Source organism: Homo sapiens, chromosome 11, assembly GCF_000001405.40.
Source record: "Homo sapiens chromosome 11, GRCh38.p14 Primary Assembly".
NCBI lineage: Eukaryota > Metazoa > Chordata > Mammalia > Primates > Hominidae > Homo > Homo sapiens.
This window is the reverse complement of record NC_000011.10, coordinates 17,867,035-17,889,169: the sequence shown is the minus strand read 5'-3', so window position 1 is coordinate 17,889,169 and position 22,135 is coordinate 17,867,035. Positions and strand designations below refer to the sequence as shown.

Below are 22,135 nucleotides of genomic sequence, written 5' to 3'. Positions count from 1 at the left end.
TGCATTGATGATTCTTGTCTGAATTAACTAATGATTGCAAAATTATTTTCTAGCCCAATTATTCTTTTACATTTATTATTTTTGGCATCCTACTATAAGAAAGAGCTTTCCCTGCTTCCCTATCTATCTATTGCTCAGTATATACAGTGGATTTTTATTTTATTCAATGGGCTATAATCTACTGTCATTATTCATTTTGGAGCTCAAGTTCTCCCTGATTTAGCTAGTGGGAGCTGTTTCAGGCTGGCTAGTTTCCTTTTGACACGTCTCCTTTACTCTTTTATCACTTTCTTACTTCGTGGTACAAATACATGTTCCAGGCTCAAACTGTTCTTTCCTCATCCCAACCCTAGAATCAGCCTTTTCTCCGAGGAGCTCTGATCCCTCTTAGTTGAATGGTATTTAAAAGCCAGGGTCTGTGCACCAAGTAAACTCATTGCTGCTGGGGTGTCAGTGCTGCTGGGCAATTTCATGTTGGTTTAACTCAATGCGTGTGTGTGTGTGTGTGTGTGTGTGTGTGTGTGTGTGTGTGTGTGTGTGTAAAACTGTGAGTTCATACTGATAACTCTAATTCTAACCTGATATCCACAGGGTTTCTCTTTGCCTTCTCTCATTCTATATTTGTGTTTCCTTCAACTACAGTGAGCATTCTGGCTCCTAGCAACATTCATATATTTCCTCATTTGCATGGTCCCACAATATATACAAAATACTTTCAGAATTGATACACGCATGCAATGAAAGAAAATAACCTACAAAGTAGTTAAATTTTTTTTGCATTGTTTGTTTGTAAACAGAAGTTATTTAGTCAAAGTACTGTGTTCAAGAGTTATTCTGACCCCCTTCAGAGCAGTTATATTATTTATTTGAAATCAGTTTTGCCTACTTTTGAGTTTCATATTATTATTCTTAAAGATTTACTTATGTTGTGAATATCAATATTTCCCCCCACTGCTGTAAAGCAGCAGTCCCCAACCTTTTTGGCACTAGGGGCCGGTTTCCTGGAAGAGGTGGGGATGGGATGGTTTCGGGATGAAACTGTTCCACCTCAGATCACCAGGCATTAGTTAGAGTCTCATAAGGATTGCGCAGCCTAGATCCCTCCCACGCGGAGTTCACAATAGGGTTTGTGCTCATATGAGAATCTAATGCCACCGCTGATCTGACAGGAGGCGGAGCTCAGATGGTAATGTGAGCGATGGGAAGCAGCCGTAAATACAGATGAAGCTTCGCTCCCTTGCCTGCTGCTTACCTCCTGCTGTGTGGCCTGGTTCCTAACAGGCCGTGGAATTTTACCAGTCTGCAGCCTAGGGGTTGGGGACCCCTGCTGTAAAGTATTCTGAATGAACTACACTGTATCCATTATACTGATGATGAATATTTGTGTTATTTCATATTTTTATTATGAATAAAACTGCTATGAACATGCTTGTACATGCCTTTTGATAGAAGTAAGCAATAATTTATTTTGGGTACTTGAGTGTCCACATATGTGTTTAGCTTTAGTAGATACTGCCAGACAGTTTTTCCAAGCAGTTGTTGAATTTACACTCCCGTCAGCAGTGTAAGAGTTCCAGTTATTTCACATCCTCGTTAGTACTTGGTGTTGACAGTCTTTTAATTTTAACCTATCATGGCTACTAGGGAAAGGGTTAAATTGTTTCTGAGAAGCCTGCCATAGGATATTTACCTGGCCTGAATCTATTAATTGCCTGTCTTTTAGTTTGATTGTCCAACTCACATGGTTCCATTTTGTTCTCAGTACAAGTACTGAGTAACTTAAGTAACTTGGTGGCATGCCTTTACTGAAATCCAGATGTATTGTTGTGTTAGGCTTTTTTAGTTGGCAAGGACCAGAGATATTAGCAGATTATTATTGTGAAGACTGTATTGTACTTTAGCATAAGTGAGGAAAACAGGTGAAGCAAATGCCTTATAAAAGAACAATGGGAAAGTCATTTAGAACCCAAGGCAACTCAAAAGCCTAAACCTTCTTGAGCCCTCAGCAGTAGGATCTATTGATTCTTCCTTTAGAACTCACATCCTGGTGACTTAGCTTCACTTTACTGTTCCTTCCTGCTGCTTCTGACTCCTCTGCTTGTACCTCCTCCTCATCTTAACCTTCCTTGTGTCTATTTCTTCCAGCTACTGCTCCAGCTACCAACTGGAGGACTCACTCCCTAGAACTGTTTCAAGGCAGAATTTTCACTAAGCCGTTTCACAGGCTGTGGTCAATCTATGCATTAATCCACATTGAGACAGGTGTCCATCCATAGTCCAATTAGGTTTGGCCCCAGGAAGCAGGACTGCATGGTATCAACACGGCCATTTATGATGAAGACATTCCCTTAGAAGGGCACTATGGGAAAAGCAAGCAGTCTGACTGCCTGGCTAGTTTAATTGTATATATTATAGCCTAATTACTGTGTATATTATATTCTAATTCAGTAGACATTTCTCAAGCCCTCTCCTTATCTGTCAATAAACTATTGGAAAAGGAAATGAACTGTTTATACTGAAGAAGGTTTTTTTGTTTGTTTGTTTTGTTTTGTTTTTAGTCTCGCTTTTAGTACTCGCCCAGGCTGGAGTACAGTGGTATGATCTCGGTTCACTGCAACCTTCGCCTCCCAGGTTAAGTGATCCTACCACACCACTTCAGTCTTCCAACTAGCTGGGACTACAGGCACACTTCACCACGCCGGGCTAATTTTGTTGTATTTTCTGTAGAGACAGGGTTTCGCCATGTTGCCCAGGCTGGTCTTGAACTCATGAGCTCAAGCTATCTGCTTGCCTCAGCCTCCTAAAGTGCCGGGATTACAGATGTGTGCCACCGTGTCCAGCTTGAAGAACTCTTCATAGTGAACCTATGCCAGTTGCTAATGCTTATAGTCTCCTTTCATATGTTCTCAAATAATATATAAGTCCTAAAATGTATCTGTAGAACAGGGTCAAGCCCAAAGTGAATTTTATTCTGTAGATAGCAGAGGTTAGGATGCGTGAGGTATACCTGGTTGTTTGAATTCCGTTTTACAGATGAGGGAACTGAGGGCCAGAGGGAGGCAAAGAGATTTACCCAAAGTCACATGGCTAGGAAGTGGGGGCGGGGGGCATCAGGACTTAAATCCAGGTTTTCTGGTTCCATATCCAGAACTCTCTCCATTACCTCACACTGACATGCCCCATACTCGTGTCCAAGCTGTTAAAAGCACAAAGGAGATTTGATAAAAGCAAACTATAGCCAAGGCAAGTGGTGAGAATTGAGAGGAGGCAGATCTCCTAAAGGCTGAGGTGATCTGGGGGACTGCCTCAGGTTTTGAACTAGGCCTTGTAGAGTTGGTTGGATTTAGAATGGTATGGAGAAGGGAGAATGGTACAAATGAAGATACAAAAGTGGGGGAAATGAGATTTTTCCAGAGACAGAAAAGAGACTCGTGTTGCTGGGTTAGAGGGTTTATTTAGGAAAGGAGTGGTAAAATGTGTGTTAAACAGTAATGAGACTTTGATAACTGTGACAACTTTAATTAAAAAAAAAATCAGATCATGCCCATGCATGTACGGTGGGTCATGCCTGTTATCCCAGAACTTTGAGAGGCCGAGGGAGGAGGGTCGCTTGAAGCCAGGAGTTCAAGCAGTCTGGACAACATGATGAGATCCTGTTCCTACAAGAAGTAAAAAAAAAAATTGGCCAGGCATAGTGGTGTGTACCTGTAGTCCTCGCTACTCAGGAAGCTAAGGCAGAAGGGTCGCTTGAGCCCAGGAATTCGAGGTTATAGTGAGCTAGGTTCACACCACTGCACTCCAGCCTGGGCAATAGAGCAAGACCCTGTCTCTAAAAACAAAAACAGATCAGATCATGATATTATGGTGAGAAGAAAGCTTAAAGTCATTGGTTGCTAAGACTCCAGGCTGAGGCGAAAAGGACTAAACTAAGATGATAGCAGCTGGAAATAAGTCAGACTTGAGAACCATTGAGAAGGCAGGATTAACAGGATCTGGAGACAGCCTAAATATAAGGGTGGGAGAGAGATAAGGAAAAGAGTTAGAACTGTCACTTGAGAGTTTGAGCCTTTGTGACAGGGACACTCTGTATCAAAAGAGGAGAGTATCAGAGGAGGAGGAGGCAGTATGTGTAGTGAGTTAGCTTACAGGCTTTGGACCAAAGCAGACCTGGGACCAGTGACTTAACTGCTCTGAGCGGGTTTGCTGGCCTGCTATGTAGGGAGACAGATTCCCACTTCTCAGAGTGGCTGTGAAGATGGGAGGTATTGCAGGTAAAGTGAAATTCTATAATGTCACATGCTTGACATCCAGGCACTTAACCAAACTTTAGCTCTCTTCTTCTCACCCCAACTTCTCTGGAAGATAGCAGAACCTAGTTCAAGCTCATTTTTTTCACAGGCATACATACAATGTGCTTTTTTTAAAAATGTATATATAACATATACACATATATATGAAATAAAATACAAATTCAAGCCCACAGAGAGAGTTAAAGATATCTTAGTAAGGCTAGGTTCTTCCAGAAGCAAACAGCCGTGCTGCCTCTCTGGTGTCGCCATGGCCTTCCCCAGTTGGGACCATTTCTGAGCTTAGAGGTGGAACTCTGGTGGCTCACTGGATTGCAGTGTGCCTGTAAAACGTGCCCAGCTTCCAAGCACTGCGTTTCTAATAGTTTGGAAATTCTGGTTGTCACCCCAGAGATACACGGATGGAAACCGGGTTTGGGCAGAGCTCTAGCAAAGGCGGCACCGAGACGCCCATTCCCTCGCCCTGTTAACCCAGGCGGCGCAGGCTGCCCAGCCAGCTGGGGCTGCCATTCTGGAGCTGCTTCTGGTACGCTTCTCCCACCCTGGCGGCTGTGCCCGCCAAGGGCTCGCAGTGCGGCACAGAGCATAACCCAGTACCGTACCAACCTAAACCCCGTTACTCCCCTTCCACCCTGGCCATCATGTGTTTCCGCACGTACGCCTCGTTGCCATAGCACCTGAAGGCGCCCGGGCTCATTGGCACCCGGCGAGAACCAATCAGCAGGCCTCGCTGTCCATCTGGCACCCTGGGTGGCCTTTGGGCTGCGGCTGGCTACCCCTCTCTGGTAGAGGAAAGCGGCCCCTGGCTGGTGGCGTGGGGCTGGCCTCGCCTCACTTCCTCTCCTTGGCGTACCTGACCCTGAGTTCTGGTCCGCAACCCGGTGTTCGTTTCCCACCCCACTCTTCCGCGCCCCGATTTCCCCGTTTAGAATGTTCAGATTTGAACAATCTGGCGGCGTTCTGTCGCCATGGGTATCCATGAGGAGGGCAGGCGACAGAACTTTGTTGCCACTTTGCAGCCGTTCCCCTAAGAAATATCCCTGGAAACAGCTCCTTGATCATTCCAGAGGTGGGCACTCCTAGCCCTAGGCAGGATGTTGTTTGGGTCCTATAAATCTAGGGCTCTCCCAGGCTTACGTCCCTGGCACTGGGCTTGCCAGATGTAAGGGAACTGGATGGGTGGTTTATTTCCATCTAATATGAGAAAAAGAAGGGTACATACCGTTTTGAGGAAGAAAGCTTGAACCTGAAGGATCACAGAATCCTGCACCTCCGCTAGCTGTGAAACACTGCACAAGTTACCTTGCTTCCCTGAACCCCAGCAGCTTCATCTGTAAAATGGTTGTAACAAAGGAATCTCTTAGGTTTTGTGTAAGTCTATATGAGATAATATAGGTAAAGCAGTTAGCCAAGTGCCTGGCCTATAAGTATTCTATAAGAGCCAGTCAGCTGTTTTTACAAACAGGTACAACTGTACTGCTAAGAACCAAAGTACTCACATCCAACAGTTGGCAAGCATTTTCACATTCATCCAATTTTTGCTTAAATTATTCGTTTGTTTTAACTCATTAATGCATTCAACATGTATTTACTGAGCATATTATCAGTCAGCTCTTGCCCTGGTCCAGCTGTATTTTCTAAGACCCCACCCCTAGGAGAGTTTTAACTGGCCTTGCAAGAACTGATGAAGTCTAGCCTGGTGGGTGGGTGGGAGATCTTATCCCTCTGGCATTGGGGTTTCGGAATTTGTTTTTTGCAGCTCTGACTTCGCAGGCTGAGGTCCCTGAACAGAGCAGACCTCTCTCATTTCTGGGAAGCACTAAGACAGAGCAGCTTTCCACAGCCACCTTTGCTTCTCACCCCTTACCCTTGGGGAGTTGTGTCCCCCTTCTCCAGAAGGCCCCAATCAGCAAGCTGGAACTTGCTTTTTCTATAGTGGGGTCCTGTTTCCTGTAACTGACTTCTGTTACAGTCTTCTGTGCTTTGCTGTGCTGGAGTTGCCAGAAGAACCCTACTCTGCTTTCAGTGCCCCCAGCATCTTCATGCTGTATCCTTCTAATGCTGTCTCCTTGTCCCCATTGTGCATGTCAGGGTCTGTCTCCAATTGGACTGGATTGGCCACACTGCTGCTTATACTTGCTTTGGGATCATATACCTTCCCTGAGTCCCTTCTCTTTGTACTGCCATCTCCTCACCCCCATGCCCTGTACTTAGATTGTGTGCAGAAAGACTACTGAGCAGGCAGTCTTCTAGATGTCTGAGAGACAGAGGACCTAACACATGCACAGTCTGATCAGACATCATAGTGGGATAAGGGCCATGATACATAGTGCTGTGGGAATAGCCAGGACGGGGCAGCTGGCTCTGCCTGAAGAAGTCAGGGAAGGCTTTACCAGGAGGTGATGTTTGAACAGTCTTTTTTTTTCTTTTTTTTTTTTTTTTTTGAGACTGACTCTTGCTCTGTTGCCCAGGCTCAAGTGCAGTGGCATGATCTCAGCTCACTGCAACCTCCACCTCCCAGGTTAAAGCAATTCTTCTGCCTCAGCCTCCTGAGCAGATGGGATCATAGGCACCCGCCACCACGCCCCACCAATTATTTTTGTATTTTTAGTAGAGACGGGGTTTCACCATGTTGGCCAGGCTGGTCTCGAACTCCTGGCCTCAAACGATCCCCCCGCCTTGGCCTCCCAAAGTGCTGGGATTACACACGTGAGCCACCACACCCGGCTGAGCAGTCTTAAAAGATTTACCTTGGTAGACAGTGGGAGAAAGCAAATTTCAGGCAAGGAGCATAGCATGCATAAAGGCCTGAAATTGCGTGATGTTCTTAGAGAAAAGTAATGTGATGTGAATAGAACAAAAGGATTATATTATTTGGTTTGAAGGTTCATGAGTAGCAGAGGGAGGAAATGAGGCCAGAGAGGTAAACAGGGACCTATTCATGAGGGCCTTGTAAGATGTTTTAGGCTTTATCCTACCAACACTGGGATCCTGTGAAGGTTTTATACATGGGCATGACATGGTCAGATTTGTGCATGAGGAAGGCAGGATGCATGGCTGTAAGGGGATAAATTGTCTCATTTGTCCTCTAGCGAGTCTGTAAGGCAGGCAGGGAAGACACTGTTATCTACTTTTTACACCTCAGAACACTGAGGCCCAAGAGGTCAAATCAAATACCTTGCCCTTTAGGTCTCAGAGCCAGAAAGAGGAGGACCTGGGACTCATCTAGCTTCCTGGTCCTGAATCTCTTTCTCTTGGGCGCATTGCCATTGTTAACAGCATCTTCTAGAAAGCTGCCTGCAGCTGAGCAGTGGGTAGATGCTGACAGGAGCATTATGAAGCAAATGGTCATTGATACAGTTTCACTGAGGGAGTATAACACTGGGATTTTGCAGCCTGTGGTGTTCAGTGTCCTGACCTCTATGCCAGCACACAGACAGCAAGAAGCAGTGGGGAACTTTGAGCTTCAAGCTCTACATTGGTTTGACAAAATCAATTCATCACTGTCTCATTCATTAATGTGCTGTCTGATACTGACATTTGTCAATGGCTTGTTTCTGGAAGCCCCTGGTCCTCAAGGCTGGTCAGCTCTACAGTCACAGCCCCAGGGTGAACCCCAGCAGTCAGAAGCAGGGCTTTTCTCTCTCTGCATTTTGTAAAATAAAATAACTTTAAAACAATAACAAAAGTAACATGATGTAGCAGTAAAGAACACTAGCTTGGAGATCAGGCAGACCTGGGTTTTAGTTCTGCTGCTGCCACTTGTCTAGCTGTGAAGGTTATTTAATATGTATGAGCCTCAGTCTCCTTATGTCTCAAATAAGCAAAGTGGAACTTACCTGAAAAGATTGTTGTGATGACTAAAATGTGATAATGTTTATAAAGTACCTTGGCATGACACCTGGCATGTATGAATCCTCAATATATGCTGGCTTTAATTCCTACAGTTACTGTTGCCCTAGCCACCACTACTACTGCCACCACAGTTAAATAATATTTGGAAAATAGAGAATAGTAGAAAAAATATCTTACAATCTTACCACCATGATGCAGCTACCCTTATAATTTAAATTTCCTTCAAATCCTTTTCCCCCACTACTTCTAAACATTCCTGATTTTATAGCATGTATATTTTATACCCAGGTGGGTTTTTTTCTCTGTGGTGGTAACTGCATTACACTTATTTTTTCTAGTTTTTAATAGATTTTTCCCTAATTATAAAAATTTTGTATAAAATTCGGAGTATAGAAAAAAAGAAAAAGAAAAATCATACTCATTGTTAACATTTTGATGTATCTCCTTCCATTCTTATTCATGCTTTATTATAGAGTTGAGATCATATTACATATACAATTTTTATGTAATTTTTCATATCATGAATATTTTCCTATTATTATAAGCATCATTTTCCGAGGCTGCATATTAGTCCATCAGATGGCTCTACCATAATTTACATAAGCATTTCCCAATTGTTCGACATCTGAGTTTTCTCCAGTTCTTCAATCGAAATATCTTCCTGTAACAGACCTAGAGAACCAGCCTCATTACAGCCAGGAAGCATATAATGAACTTGTGCTGCATATATGGTCCTGAGTGAGGCATAGTGGGAGCCCTCAGGTCAATCAGACACAGAGCCAGCCTTAAAGGAGCTCAGAGACTAAACAACCTGGAAATACTTACTGGTAATTAAGCACTGTCAGGGAGTCCACTTAAGTGTGGGTAACCCTTTTCCCTGTGGAAGCTGGGATCTGGGAAGCACAGCTTCTACACAGGAAAAAGCCTAGGAGGCCTTGCTGCCCCTTCTCACCTATGAATGTGCAGATTGGCTTCTAATGCTGAAATGCCTTTTGAGCTACACTGTCAGGGGCCTGAGCTAAGAACCATTGAATATTACTTCCAAGTGGTTTTCACTAGGAGAGAATGAGAAACACTACCAAAGGAACTTGTGGGAGAATTAAGAGAATCAGAGTGGCTCTAGTCTTAGTTTTTTATTTTATTTTTTTAATTGACAGATAAAATTGTATATGTTTACTGTATACAATATGATGTTTTGAAATATATACGCATGGTGGAATGGCTAAACTGGCTAATTAACATATATTACTTCACATAGTTGTCATTTTTGTGGTGAGAAAACAAAATCTACTTTCAGAATTTTTCAAGAATATAATAGATTAACTGTAGTCATATATAATAACATGGATGAACCTGGAAGACATTATTTTAAGTAAAATAAGTCAAGCACAGACAGACAAATACCACATGATCTCATTCAATAAGGAATCACTCATACATGAATTTAAAAAGTTGATTTCATAGAAGTAGAGGATAGAATGGTGGCTCTAGTCTTAGTTTTGTCACAGACTTGCCCTGGGACCTGAGGTAAGTAAGTTATTTCTCCCTCCCAAGCCTCCATCTTCTCATAACATAGGTGATCTCCAGGGCCCTTCCAGTATTAACATTCCAGAGTACTTGAAACATTCCTCTTGCCAGGAGCTAAAGTGAGTATCCTGATAAAGGTCACAGGATAATTCTCTAAAGCCTAGAGCTCCTCTTAATTAGTCCTGGGGAACCATTTATGCCTTTGTATTCCCAGTCACTTCCTCCTGCTAGCAGTTGGGACATATGGAGACTGAAGGGCAAGAAGTATCTCCCACTGGTTGGAAACTCTGGATTCAGAAAGCCAAAAATTGTCTTTTATGTATTAGGTATTTGTTCTTTTATGTACTTTGTTCTTTCATTCATTCCCTCATTTAGCAGATGTTAACTGAATCCCAGGCCTTGTCCAATCCATCTGTGCAATACAGAGGTGAATGAGACTCAACCATGTTCTCAAAATAGATGTAGTCTCATAAGAGGACAGGAAACAATGATAAAAGGCAACAAGATGGTTGCTACGGTGGGGGTACATTTAAGGGCATAAGGACAGGTGCACCTGAGTCTGCCTAGAAGCAACAGCAAAGAAGTCTTAGTAGATACTTTGAGATTTTAAAGGATAAGTAGAAATTTTTTAGGTATGCAGTAGAGGAGAGGACATTCTGGGTAGAGGAAGAGGCATGTGCAAGGGGCTAGAGGTGTGAGAGAACATGACGTGTTGAAAGAACTGCATATAGTTTGTGTGGCTGGTAGGTGAAAGGGAGAGTGGACAGATGAGAAAAAGTCAAACATTTCTCCACAGACCAGTCTGTTTCCACTGAATTCTTTGCTCATTTTATCAGTCCATACGAGAGGGATGGTCTTTTTAGTTCAGTTTTCAAAAACTGTTATCTTTATTGCCTTATCTTTCCATTTTTACAGTAACATATGCTCATTTTAGAAAGTTTGAAAAATACAAAAAGTAAAAGGAAGAAAGGGTTTAAAAAATTACTCATGGTCTCACTAGCTAAAGACAACTTTAATATCTGATGAATTTCCATTCAATATTTTTTTTATTTTCTTTTTATGTAGCTGTGAATGTGTTGTAATTATAATCTTAACTTTTGTATGTGATGCTTCTTTCTATTTCCTTCCTAAATTTTGCCAAAAATGGATGTTAGTGTCATTAGAAAAGAACTATGATTATAAAATATACTGGCTGAAATATCTATCCATTTTCTTTGTCTTTTTTTTTTTTTACAGGTCTCTTGTGGCTCAGAGCATAATTTGGCAATAATTGGTAAGTAATTTTTATACTGATAACTGTTTCTTCTGAAAATCATGTGGCAGAATTGGAGAAGACTTTTGGTTAACCAAAAGCCATGGTGCGTGCACTCATGCATGTGTGTTAGGGGAGATTGGGGGAAATGGAAGTTTTTGGTTGACCAAGGGTTTACTAGAAGCTCCTTTTCTGAATATTTCGATTCATATCATTGAGCATCTTTTTAAGGTACCTGAGCTGGCCTCCCTGCCCGGGAAGTGGCATTTGAGCATATTAAAGAACTCACAGGCTGAGGGGCACCATGTGTAGAAAGCCAGACATAAAAAGGAAGAATGATTGGACTGCTTCTGGTTTTTCGAATAAATCCCCATTCTAAGTTCTTTCCTATTGGTTTGGCTCTTTCTTTGGAAATATGCGGCTCTGCTCACTGCCCTTGCTGCCTTGTATTTAGTGGCACTCAGGAACTCCCAGTTGGACTCAAACCTCTGGTTAATAGAGGCTTCCTCTTAGTTGGCCCTGGATAATCATAGTTTAGTGTTTTCATAATTAGATCTATGAGTAATTCATTCAAGAAGGCTTCTCATTAACTTCCACAGGTAGACTCAGTTTCCATCTCACAGTACATTAAAGAGACTGCAGTGTAGGGCCAGACTGCCTGAGTTCAGTACAGACTTCTACTTACTAGCCATGTGAACTTGGACAAGGTATTGACTTCTCTATGCTCATCTTTAAAATGGGGAGGGCAATAGTGCCTACCTCATAGTGTTGTTGCAGGGATAAGTTATGTAAAGCACATAGAATGACGCTTAACTCCTAGGAGGGGCTTTGGTAATGTTCGTTATTATTACCTGATATTATATGTTAAAGTAATTGCCCTCCGCTAGGCTTTAGTTTCCCCATCTGTAAAATGGAGAAGTTAAAACAGAAAACCAAGTTTCCCTCCAGCTCTGATATTTTAGGACTCTTGTTACAACCCCACCACTGACTGATTTGTGTCAATAATTTCTGTTCCTGGCCACTCCTGTCTCCTAGCTTCTAACTTTGAACTTCTACCAGGCCAGGCCCTTGTGTTTTCCTCATTTCTTGCCGATTCACAGCACCTAAAGCAGTGTGTGGCTCTTAGCAGAGACTCACACATTCTTTTCTGAATTGAGCTGGACTGGCTCAGCTGCCTGGGGTGGCAGTAGTTTGAAGCACTACTTTGCAGGCCCAAACATGATGTACAAAGAGGCAGAACCAAGGACAGCAGAGGAGGTGGGGAGTAACAGGGACTGGAGTTAGAGAAGGAGCTAGAAAATGTAACAGCAAACCTGCATGCTTTGCAGCAGGACCAGATACTTTATACCGGAACTGCTTCGGCCTGGGTGTAATTAAGACAAGCTAATCAAAAGAGTCAAAGGCGGTGCCTAGGACATTGCTGCTACTGCTATCACTGGACTGGGAGAGGCTGGCTTCCCCTGGGACCAACATAAACAAGAAGATGGCAGGGAATCTAAATTTGTGAAAGCACAAAATCCAGATGAAGGAATGGGTCAGAGCTAGCAAAGCAGCAGGCTGAGCTGACGTAGGCAGCCTGGGGCTGTAGAAGGAGCAAAGACTCTGCAGGCAGACAGCCTTGGTTCAAACTGGCTCCATCTCTGTGTGAGCGTCCATATTCTTCTCATCTTTGTAATGGGGGTAATCATTCCGCCTTTCAGGATTATTGTGATTAGGTGAGATAATTTATGTGAAATGGCTGGCAGATATAAATTCCTTTGGTTTCTCTTTTCTCTTGGTTGGGTAGCGGGAGGGGAGAAATACTTGTTAGTGTAACTGTTCTAGTGAAATATTTCTTTGTTGGAAGAGAAACAATGACATTCTGGAAAGATGTGTCCAGTGTTACCTGTGTGGAGGCCATCAGAGGCAGTGGGAGAATAGGGCATGCTGGCGAGCACTTGAGGACAGACCTGTTATTTTCCATTTTATCCCCAGTGCCTGGGACCTGGCTCACAGACTTCTGAATGAATGGTTTCAGAGTCAGGAAAAGTGAGTGCAGGCACAGGGCTCTGCACATATGTACCTGCCTGGTGGCCAGGAGCAAGAGGCTCTCCATCACTGGAGGAATGAGGCCCTCAGTGGGTGCCCTGCAGGGTGCAGGCTTTGAAACAGGAAGCTACAAGAAGCTGCCTGTTAGTCCTAGCAGGAGGCTAGCAAGAGGGAGACAAGTTGCAGGTGAAGAAGAGTTCCTGCCAGCTTAAAGCCATGTTTCTCATGGGGTTGAGCTCCTCCCCTCAATCCTACTGCCTTTGCCTGCTTTAGAGGGATTTCCCTGCCTTCAGTTTCATTCCCTGAACTCTAGCCCTTCAGTGCCTGGTGCTGTGTCCCACATGTAAAAGGCACAAAATAGTTATAGACTAGACTAGAAGAGAACATAAAGCAGCCAAACTTTGCCCAAGGGTATAAGCAACCTTAATGTCTGATGAATGTGTGACAGATGAATCAACTTGGAAAGGGAGGTGAAACAGAGAATGGTGAAAGGACATGATTGAGAACCTAGTCTGTCTTAGGTTAGTGGACACAACTCCTCAAAGTATATTTGTTGTATCTGCTTTGTAGAGACGAAACAGACTCAGAAGTTAAATGGGTTAAACAGGTTGTAGAGATAAGTAGCAGTGTTACCTGAGCAATGGACTCGCTGCCCAGCGCACATAGAAGCGAATGCTGTGACACTGGCTTTGAGAAAAGAAAGTTTATTGTGAGTCAATTGACAAGGAGACAGGGAGGCAACGCTCAAATCCATCTCCCCGATCTGGGAGTGGGTCAAGCTTTTATGGCATTTTAAACTAATCCCAGGTGATGCCAGTGCAGCTGGTCAGCCAGGCTGGTGATGCTAACAATTAGGCTGCTAAAGCTTTTCTCCTGAGCATGCCAGGTAACTTTGGCTCTGCACTACCTGTAACTTAAGCAGTGATTACTTGGTTTGAATTGGTCCTACGGTTACAGCAATAAATAGTAGAGCTGTCTGCCTGACTTCCAAAACTGCTCCTCTATTCTGTCATTTCCAGTGGCCTGAAGTAGTATGGGTAGTAGTTAAGAAGAGCTCAGGCACTGGGGACAGATTGCCTGGATCCAGATTCTGTCTTCTCCACTTACAAGCTGTGTAACCTGTATAAGTGGCTTACCTTCTCTATGTCTTGATCACCTCATCTGGGATATAATATTATTGACTTCATAGGGTTGTTAGGTAAAGTGCTAAGAACAATGCCTAACACAAAAGTAAAGACTCAATAAATGTTAGCTGCTATTATTATTATTCTATATTAAGACCTCAAGGAAGGAAGTAATTATAAGCCTGAGGCCAGGGTAGGAATCTCAGGAGCTAGAGAAGGAAGTGTCTTTCCCAGCCTGGATATCAGGGTCCATGGCAAGATCTCAGCATAGCTGCAGGATGGATTTGTAAACTGGAGCCTGGGGTTCCCACTGGGGAATCTGCACATCCAAGCAGCCCTGGAAACAGTCCTAGCCCAGATTTGTTCAAGGACAGGATTCTGCTATTCATTGTCCCAGACAGGGACTCAGGCCCTGCATGTTCCAGCCTGAAGCAAGCCCCATGGAAGCCACATTTCAGTTTCTTGAGAAGATGGAAATTTTACTCTGCTGCTTTATGTGCTTCTGGGTTTCTTTGTTCCCCTTCTTTTGAAATTTGGTTTAGTTACTTCCTTAGTTTTCCAATTAAGTTTCTCTTGACATGTTTTGTCTTTGCCACCAGGTGCCCCCATGACTAGACAGAATGGTGAAGTGGTATGAGTTCCTGCTTTAGACTAAGGAAGAACTGTTGGAGCTGAGCATAGAGAGACTCAGGTGACAATCAGAAAAGAGAGAGCTGAGGCCATTGACCATGGCTGGCTTGGGCATTCTCTGCCTATATGCCTTGTACAATCACTCTGCCTCACCAAGCCTGATTCCTCATTTGTAAAATCGACATCATGATACCCACTCCCAGAAGTTGTTCTTCCCAATGGCATAGGTATGTCAAGTACATGCTCAGTACCCGCCATGTCATAGGTGCTCCGCAGGTGTTGTCCACTTGGCTGCTTCACTGATTCACTCTCTTCCTTTCCACCTAGGATTTCTTTCCACATCTGACAAAGCTCACTGGCTAACTCCCATTTGTGGGCATAGACTGAGGTGAACTGAGGGCATGTGGCCATCACTTGCTGAGAAGATCCCTGCCTTTCAGAGGCAGGGTCCCCAGATCCAGCTCTGCTTTCAGGCCCCTCACCTCTGTGTCTGGATGAATTGGCTCCAGCTGTTGTGCTTCCACCAGGAGCAGCTTATTTTGGCTTGAATTGGCAATTTGCTTGCCTTCTTCCTGATGTGCAGTTGTTTTGTCTTCCCTTCCTGCGGAGAAAAAAGAGCTGACTGCGTTTCCTCTCTCCCTGCTCCACACAGACCCTTGGAAGGATTTTATTGGTGGCCCTTTCCTGGAGCACTCAGGCTTGCCAGACAGGCATTGTTAAAGGGTTGGTTATTGGCAGGAAAGTGTGATGCCTCCTCCTCCTCCTCCTCCTCCTCCTCCTCCTCCAAGCAGAGCCAGTTCTTTTACTAAATTGGAGCTATAATATATGCATGGATTTTTTTTTCATTTCACAGATGATTTTCAACTGTTGAACCATTGTACCTTTATAATATGTATGGCAGAACATCTAACCTTGGCATGAAACCATCAAGCAATTTCATGTAAGAATTTAATAGGAAAATAGAGAAATAACTCTTTTTTTGGCACTGGATATTCCTCTGAGTGGTGATATCTCCAAACCCTAGGGCCTTGTAGAGAGCTTAGAGGCAGATACAAATTTGTATGTTTCTGTGCACAATGAGATAGGCAGAATGTAAATGCTTTACCTACCTCATCCCATTTAATCCTCACAGCAAATTGATGAGCTGGTACTCTGGTTAATCCCATCTTCTAGGTACGGGAAAATGAAGCTGAAGGTGAGCAGTTTACTCCACCCAGGTCACACAAGTAGGAAGAATTTGTGTGTTAGGTCTTTTACCCCCACCTCTAATTTCAGAGCCTGTGGACCGATGCTGCCTTCCTGCAGACTGGTGACAGTCTGGCCTGTTTTTAAAGCCACCAGATAGGAGTACTTCATCTTTTTGTTTCAGTATTTAAGATGAAAAACTCCCTTCCATGCTATCCCCCTCTCTCTAGCTCCCCAAAACCCTTCTACCACATGTGCAGGTAATGCCTGTTACTAGTTTCTTCTGTATCCTTCTAGTGTCCTTTTACATATGTAAGTGAATACTAAGATATGTTTTTATCCTTCCTTTTACATAAATGGTAGCATACTATACTCATTTCTCAGTGCCTGATTTTTCTCAACAATTTTTCTGGGAGATCTTTCCATATCAGTATAAAAGCTGTCCTAGTTCTTTTTTTACAGTTACATAATATTCCAAAGTTCCTATGTATCTTGATTTATTTAACTAGTGACCTGTTCATGGACATTTATGTAATTTCTAGTCTTTTGTTATTATAAGCAACGCTATAGTGAATGACCTTCTATGTATGTTATTTCATGTGAGGAGAGTATAGTTATAAGTTCCTAGAAGTGAAATTACTGTGTCAAAGTATAAATGTATTTGTAATTTTGCAATGTACTTCAAAATTGGCCTCCATAGGGGCTATGCCATTTTTCACTTCCACTAGCAAGGTATAAGGGTGCTTGTTTATTGCAGCCTCCTTAATAGGATATATTAAGAAACTCTTGGATTTTTGCCAGTCTGATAGGTAAGCAACTACTCAGGGTAGCTTTTGTTTATCTTTTTAAGTTGAAGTATAACGTATATAATATAGTAAAGTTCACAAATCTTAAGGGTTCAGATGATGAATTTTTACATATGTATGTACTTAAGAAAACACCATCCAGAGCAAGATATAGAAAAGAAAACACCATCCAGAGCAAGATATAGAACATTTCCAGCACCCTGGAAGACTAGTTCATGCTCCATCTCTGTCTATAACCCACCCCCAGAGCTAACCATTCTTCTGACTTCTGTCTCCAAAGATGCCTTTGTTTGAACTTCACGTGGATGGTGTTTGGCTTCTTTTGTTCAACACATTGTGTCTGTAAGAGTCATTCATGTTGTGTGTAGCAGTAATTTTGTAATGCTTGGTAATATTCTACTGTATAAATATACCACAACTTATTTAACCATTTAACTGTTGAACATTTGGGTTGTTTCTAGTTTGGGGATGCTACGTACATTCTTATACACGCCTTTTGATAGATATGTGCATTTATTTCTCTTGGGTGCATGATTAAGACTAGGAATTCTAGTTCATATTTAGTATTAGTAAATACTGCGCAACAGTGTTTAAAGTAGTTGCACCAATTTACACCCCCACCAGCAATATGAGAGTTCCATTTGTGCTATACTCTCGCCAGATATTTTCAATCTTATAGATTTAGGCAATTCTGTTGAGTGTGCAGTGTGGAATCTCACTGATTTTAATTTGCATTTCTCTCATAACTAATGATGTGGAGTACCTTTTTACATGCTTATAGGCCATTTGGGTGGCTTCTTTTGTCAAATTCAAAGACTTAAGTCCGAAGACTTTAAGTCTTTGCCCATTGTTTTAAGTTGGGTTTTGTCTATGTTTCTCTTAGTGATTTGCAGGCATCCCTTATATCTTGTAGATTCCAGTCCGTTGTTGAATATGCATATTGCAAACATCTTCTCCCAGCCAGTGGCTTACTCTTTTTTTTTTTTTTTTTTTTTGAGATGGAGTCTCGCTCTGTCACCCAGGCCGGAGTGCAGTGGCACAATCTCAGTTCACTGCAAGCTCCGCCTCCTGGGTTCACGCTATTCTCCTGCCTCAGCCTCCCGAGTAGCTGGGACTACAGGCGCCTGCCACCACACCCGGCTAATTTTTTGTATTTTTTAGTAGAGACGGGGTTTCACCATGTTAGCCAGGTTGGTCTCTATCTCCTGACCTCGTGTGGCTTACTCTTTTACTCTCTTAATCGTGTCTTTTGATGAATAGTTATTTATTTTAATGAAGTCCAGTTTATTGACCATTCCTTTAATGGTTTGAGGTATTTGTGCCCTACTTAAGACATTTTTACTCATTCCAAGATCATGAAAGTATTCTTATGTCTTCTTTGTGAAGCTTTATTATTTTGCCTTTTATATTTAGGCCTAAAATCCATCTCAAGTTAGTTTTTTTAAACATTTAGAACCATTTATTGAAAAGTTCATTTTTTACCATTGAATTGTGGAGGTACCTTTGTTATAAATCAAGAGACTGCATATATGTGTTGATGTGCTTTTAGATTCTTTTTTATTAGTTTGTTTTTCCGTTTGTATGCTAGTATCACACTAGCTTGATTATTGTAGCTTTATAATAAATCTTGATATCTAGCATTATAAGCCCTCCTACTTTGTTCTTTTTTAAGATTATTGTGGCCTTTTTAATCTGTCTAATTTTAGTTATTATAAATGAAGGTTGAGCTTCTTTTTATATGTTCAAGAACTATTTGTATTTTCTCTTTTATGAGGAGTTTTTCATTCACACCCGTATTAGTTTTGTTCATTGTTGCTATAACAAATTACCATAAAATTAATGGCTTAAAACAAGACAAATGTATTATCTTCAAGTTTGAGGTCAGAAATCTAAGATGGGTCTCACTTGGCTAAAATCAAGCTGTTGGCAGCCTTCATTCCTTCCTGGAAGTTCCAGAGAGAATTCATTTTCTTGCCCTTTCTAGCTACTAAAGGCTACCTATATTCCTTGACTTATGACCTCTTCCATCTTCAAAGCCAGCCATAGCTTTTCAAGTCTTTCTCCTACTGCATCACTCTGACACTGACTCTTCTGCCTCCCTTTTCTACATTTAAGGACCTTTCTGATTACATCATCCCTGCCTGGATAATCCAGCATAATCTCCCTGTATTAGTACATTTTCATACTGCTGTAAATAACTGCCCAAGACTGGATAATTTATAAAGGAAAGAGGTTTAATTGACTCACAGTTCAGTGTGGCTGGGGAGGCGTCAGGAAACTTACAATCATGGTGGAAGGTGAAGGGGAAGCAAGGCACCTTCTTCACAAGGTGGCAGGAAGGAGAAGTGCCAAATGAAGTGGGGAAGAGCCCCTTATAAAACCATCAGATCTCATGAGAATTTACTCACTATCACAAGAACAGCATGGGGGAAACTGCCCCCCTGATTCAATTACCTCCACCTGGTCTCTCCCTTGACATGTGGGGATTATGGGTATTACAATTCAAGATGAGATTTTGGGTGGGAACACAGCTAAACCATATCACTCCCTGTCTTAATATCAGCTAATTAGCAACCTTAATTTTATCTGATAACTCAGTTCCCCTTGCCATGTAACAAAACATATTCATAGGCTCTAGGAATTAGGACATGGACATCTTTAGGAGGCCATTATTTTTTCTACCTCAATATCCTTTGCCTTGCTATAGAGTCTGAATGTTTGTGTCTTTCAAAAAATTTTATGTTGATATTTATTCCCTAACGTGATAGCATTAAGAGGTGGGGTGTTTGGGAGGTGATTAGGTCATGAGGGCTCTACCCTCAAGAATGGTGTTAGTACCCTTATAAAAGAGGTCCAAGGGAGCTTGTTCACCCCTTTTGCCATGTGAGGACATTTAAAAGGTGCCATCTAAAAGGAATAGGCCCTCACTATATACCATCAGATCAGCTGGTACCTTGATCTTGGACTTCCCAGCCTCCAGAACTTGTATTATTTATACATTTTCCGGTCTAAGGTATTTTGTTATAGCAGCCCAGAAGGACTAAGACAGCCTTTTATATTGTCAGTCTTTTTCTAATAAATGTCTAGGTGTTCTTTACATATTAGGGAGATTAGGCATTGTTCTGTGATTTGAATTGCAAATGTATTTTCCCAGCTTTTTATCTTCTGTTTTTGATGTTTTTGTTTATTTTGTCTGTAATATTTTGTCATGCAACCTTTTATTTTACTATAGATTAAATGTATCAGTCTTTTCCTGTATGGCTTTTGGATTTTGAGTCAGGGAATCCTTCTCTCCTCCAGAGTATAATGGTCTTTCTTTATATTTTATTCTAGTATGGTCATGCATTGCCTAAAAATCGGGATACGTGGCCAGGGTCAGTCGCTCACACCTGTAATCCCAGCACTTTGGGAAGTCAAGGCAGGCTGATCACTTAAGGCCAGGAGTTTGAGACCAGCCTGGTCAACATGGCTGATATGGTTTGGCTGTGTCCCTACCCAAATCTCATATTGAATTCCCATGTGTTGTGGGGAGTGACCTTGTGGGAGGTAATTGAATCATGGGAGCAGGTCTTTCTCATGCTGTTCTCATGATAGTGAATAAGTCTCACGAGATCTGATGGTTTTAAAAAGGGGAGTTTCCCTGCACAAGCTCTCTCTTTGCCTGCCACCATCCATGTAAGATGTGACTTTCTCCTCCTTGCTTTCTGCCATGATTGTGAGGCCTCCCCTGCCATGTGGAACTGTAAGTCCATTAAATCTCTTTATTTCGTAAATTGCCCAGTCTCAGGTATGTCTTTATTAGCAGCATGAAAATGGACTAATACAGTAAATTGATACCAGGAGTAGGGTGCTGCTGAAAAGATACCCGAAAATGTGGGTGCGACTTTGGAACTGGGTAACAGACAGAGGTTGGAACAGTCTGGAGGGATCAGAAGAAGACAGGAAAATGTGGGAAAGTTTGGAGCCCCCTAGAGACTTGTTGAGTGACTTTGATCAAAATACTGATAATGATATGGACAATGGAATCCAGACTCAGGTGGTCTAAGATGGAGATGAGGAACTTGTTGGGAACTGGAGTAAAGGTGATCCTTGTTGTGTTTTAACAAAGAGACTGGTGGCATTTTGCCTCTGCCCTAGAGATTTGTGGAACTTTGAACTTGAGAGAAATGATTTAGGGTATGTGGTGGAAGAAATTTCTAAGCAGCAAAGCATTCAACAGGTGACTTGGGCACTGTTAAAGGCGTTCAGTTTTAAAAGGGAAACAGAGCATAAAGTTTCAGAAAATTTACAGCCTGATGATGTGATAGAAAAGAAAATCCCATTTTTCTAAAGAGAAATTCAAGCCAGTTGCAGAAATTTGCATAAGTAACAAGGAGCCAAATGTTAATCCCCAAGACAATAGGGAAAATGTCTCCAGGGCATGTCAGGGGTCTTGATGGCAGCCCCTCTTATCACAGACCCAGAGGCCTAGAAGGAAAAGACGGTTTTCTGGGCTGGGTCCAGGGTGCCCCTACTGTATGCAGCCTAGGGACTTGGTGCCCTGTGTCCCAGCCACTCCAGTTGTGGCTGAAAGGGGCCAATGTAGAGCCCTGGCCGTGGCTTCAGTGGGTACAAGCCTCAAGCCTTGGCAGCTTCCACATGGTGTCGAGCCTGCGAGTGCACCAAAGTCAAGAATTGGGGTTTGGGAACCTCTGCCTAGGTTTCAGAAGATGTATGGAAATTCCTGGATGCCCAGACAAAATTTTGCTACAGTGGTGGGGCCTTCATGGAGAACTTCTGCTAGAGCAGTGTGGAAGGGAAATGTGGGGTCAGAGCCCCGACACAGACTCCCTACTGGGGCACTGCCTAGTGGAGCGGTGAGAAGAGGGCCACTATCCTCCAGGCCCCAGAATGGTAGATCCACTGACAGCTGTGCACCTGCAAAAGCCACAGACACTCAGTGCCAACCCATGAAAGCAGCTAGGAAGGAGGCTGTACCCTGCAAAACCACAGGGGCAGAGCTGCCCAAGACCATGGGAACCCACCTGTTAACATCAGCATGACCTGGCTGTGAGACATGGAGGCAATGGAGATCATTTTGGAACTTTAAGATTTGACTACGCTACTGGATTTTGGACTTGCATGGGGCCTGTGGCCCCTTTGTTTTGGCCAATTTCTCCCATTTTGAATGGCTATATTTACCCAAAGCCTGTACCCCCATTGTATCTAAGAAGCAACTAACTTACTTTTGATTTTACAGGCTCATAGGCAGAAGGGACTTGCCTTGTCTCATATGAGACTTTGGACTGTGGACTTTTGAGTTAATGCTGAAATGAATTAAGACTTTAGGACACTGTTAAGAAAACATGATTGGTTTTGAAATGTGAGGACATGAGATTTAGGAGGGGCCAGGGGCAGAATGATATGGTTTGGCTGTGTCCC

At 42.7% G+C, this 22,135-nt stretch overlaps 1 protein-coding gene across 3 annotated transcripts in view, besides 1 other annotated feature; it reads left to right on the top strand.

Moving 5' to 3' along the window:
* The window catches only part of SERGEF (secretion regulating guanine nucleotide exchange factor), a 225,000-nt gene that overhangs the window by 123,878 nt on the left and 78,987 nt on the right, over window positions 1-22,135 (top strand). For all 3 annotated transcript variants that reach the window (NR_104041.2, NR_104040.2, NM_012139.4), the window contains one exon: window positions 10,926-10,962. Coding sequence is in view for 1 of the 3 variants with exons in the window: in NM_012139.4 (NP_036271.1) it covers window positions 10,926-10,962 (37 nt within the window). In the remaining 2 variants the exon portion in view is untranslated. The remainder of the gene's footprint in view (window positions 1-10,925; window positions 10,963-22,135) is intronic.
* Window positions 21,349-21,850: an enhancer, noted in NCBI's record as "H3K4me1 hESC enhancer chr11:17888867-17889368 (GRCh37/hg19 assembly coordinates)". NCBI's record gives its function as "activates a minimal SCP1, AML or CMV promoter by ChIP-STARR-seq in naive H9 embryonic stem cells {active_cell/tissue: H9 hESC(naive)}" and the evidence as "EXISTENCE:reporter gene assay evidence [ECO:0000049][PMID:30033119]".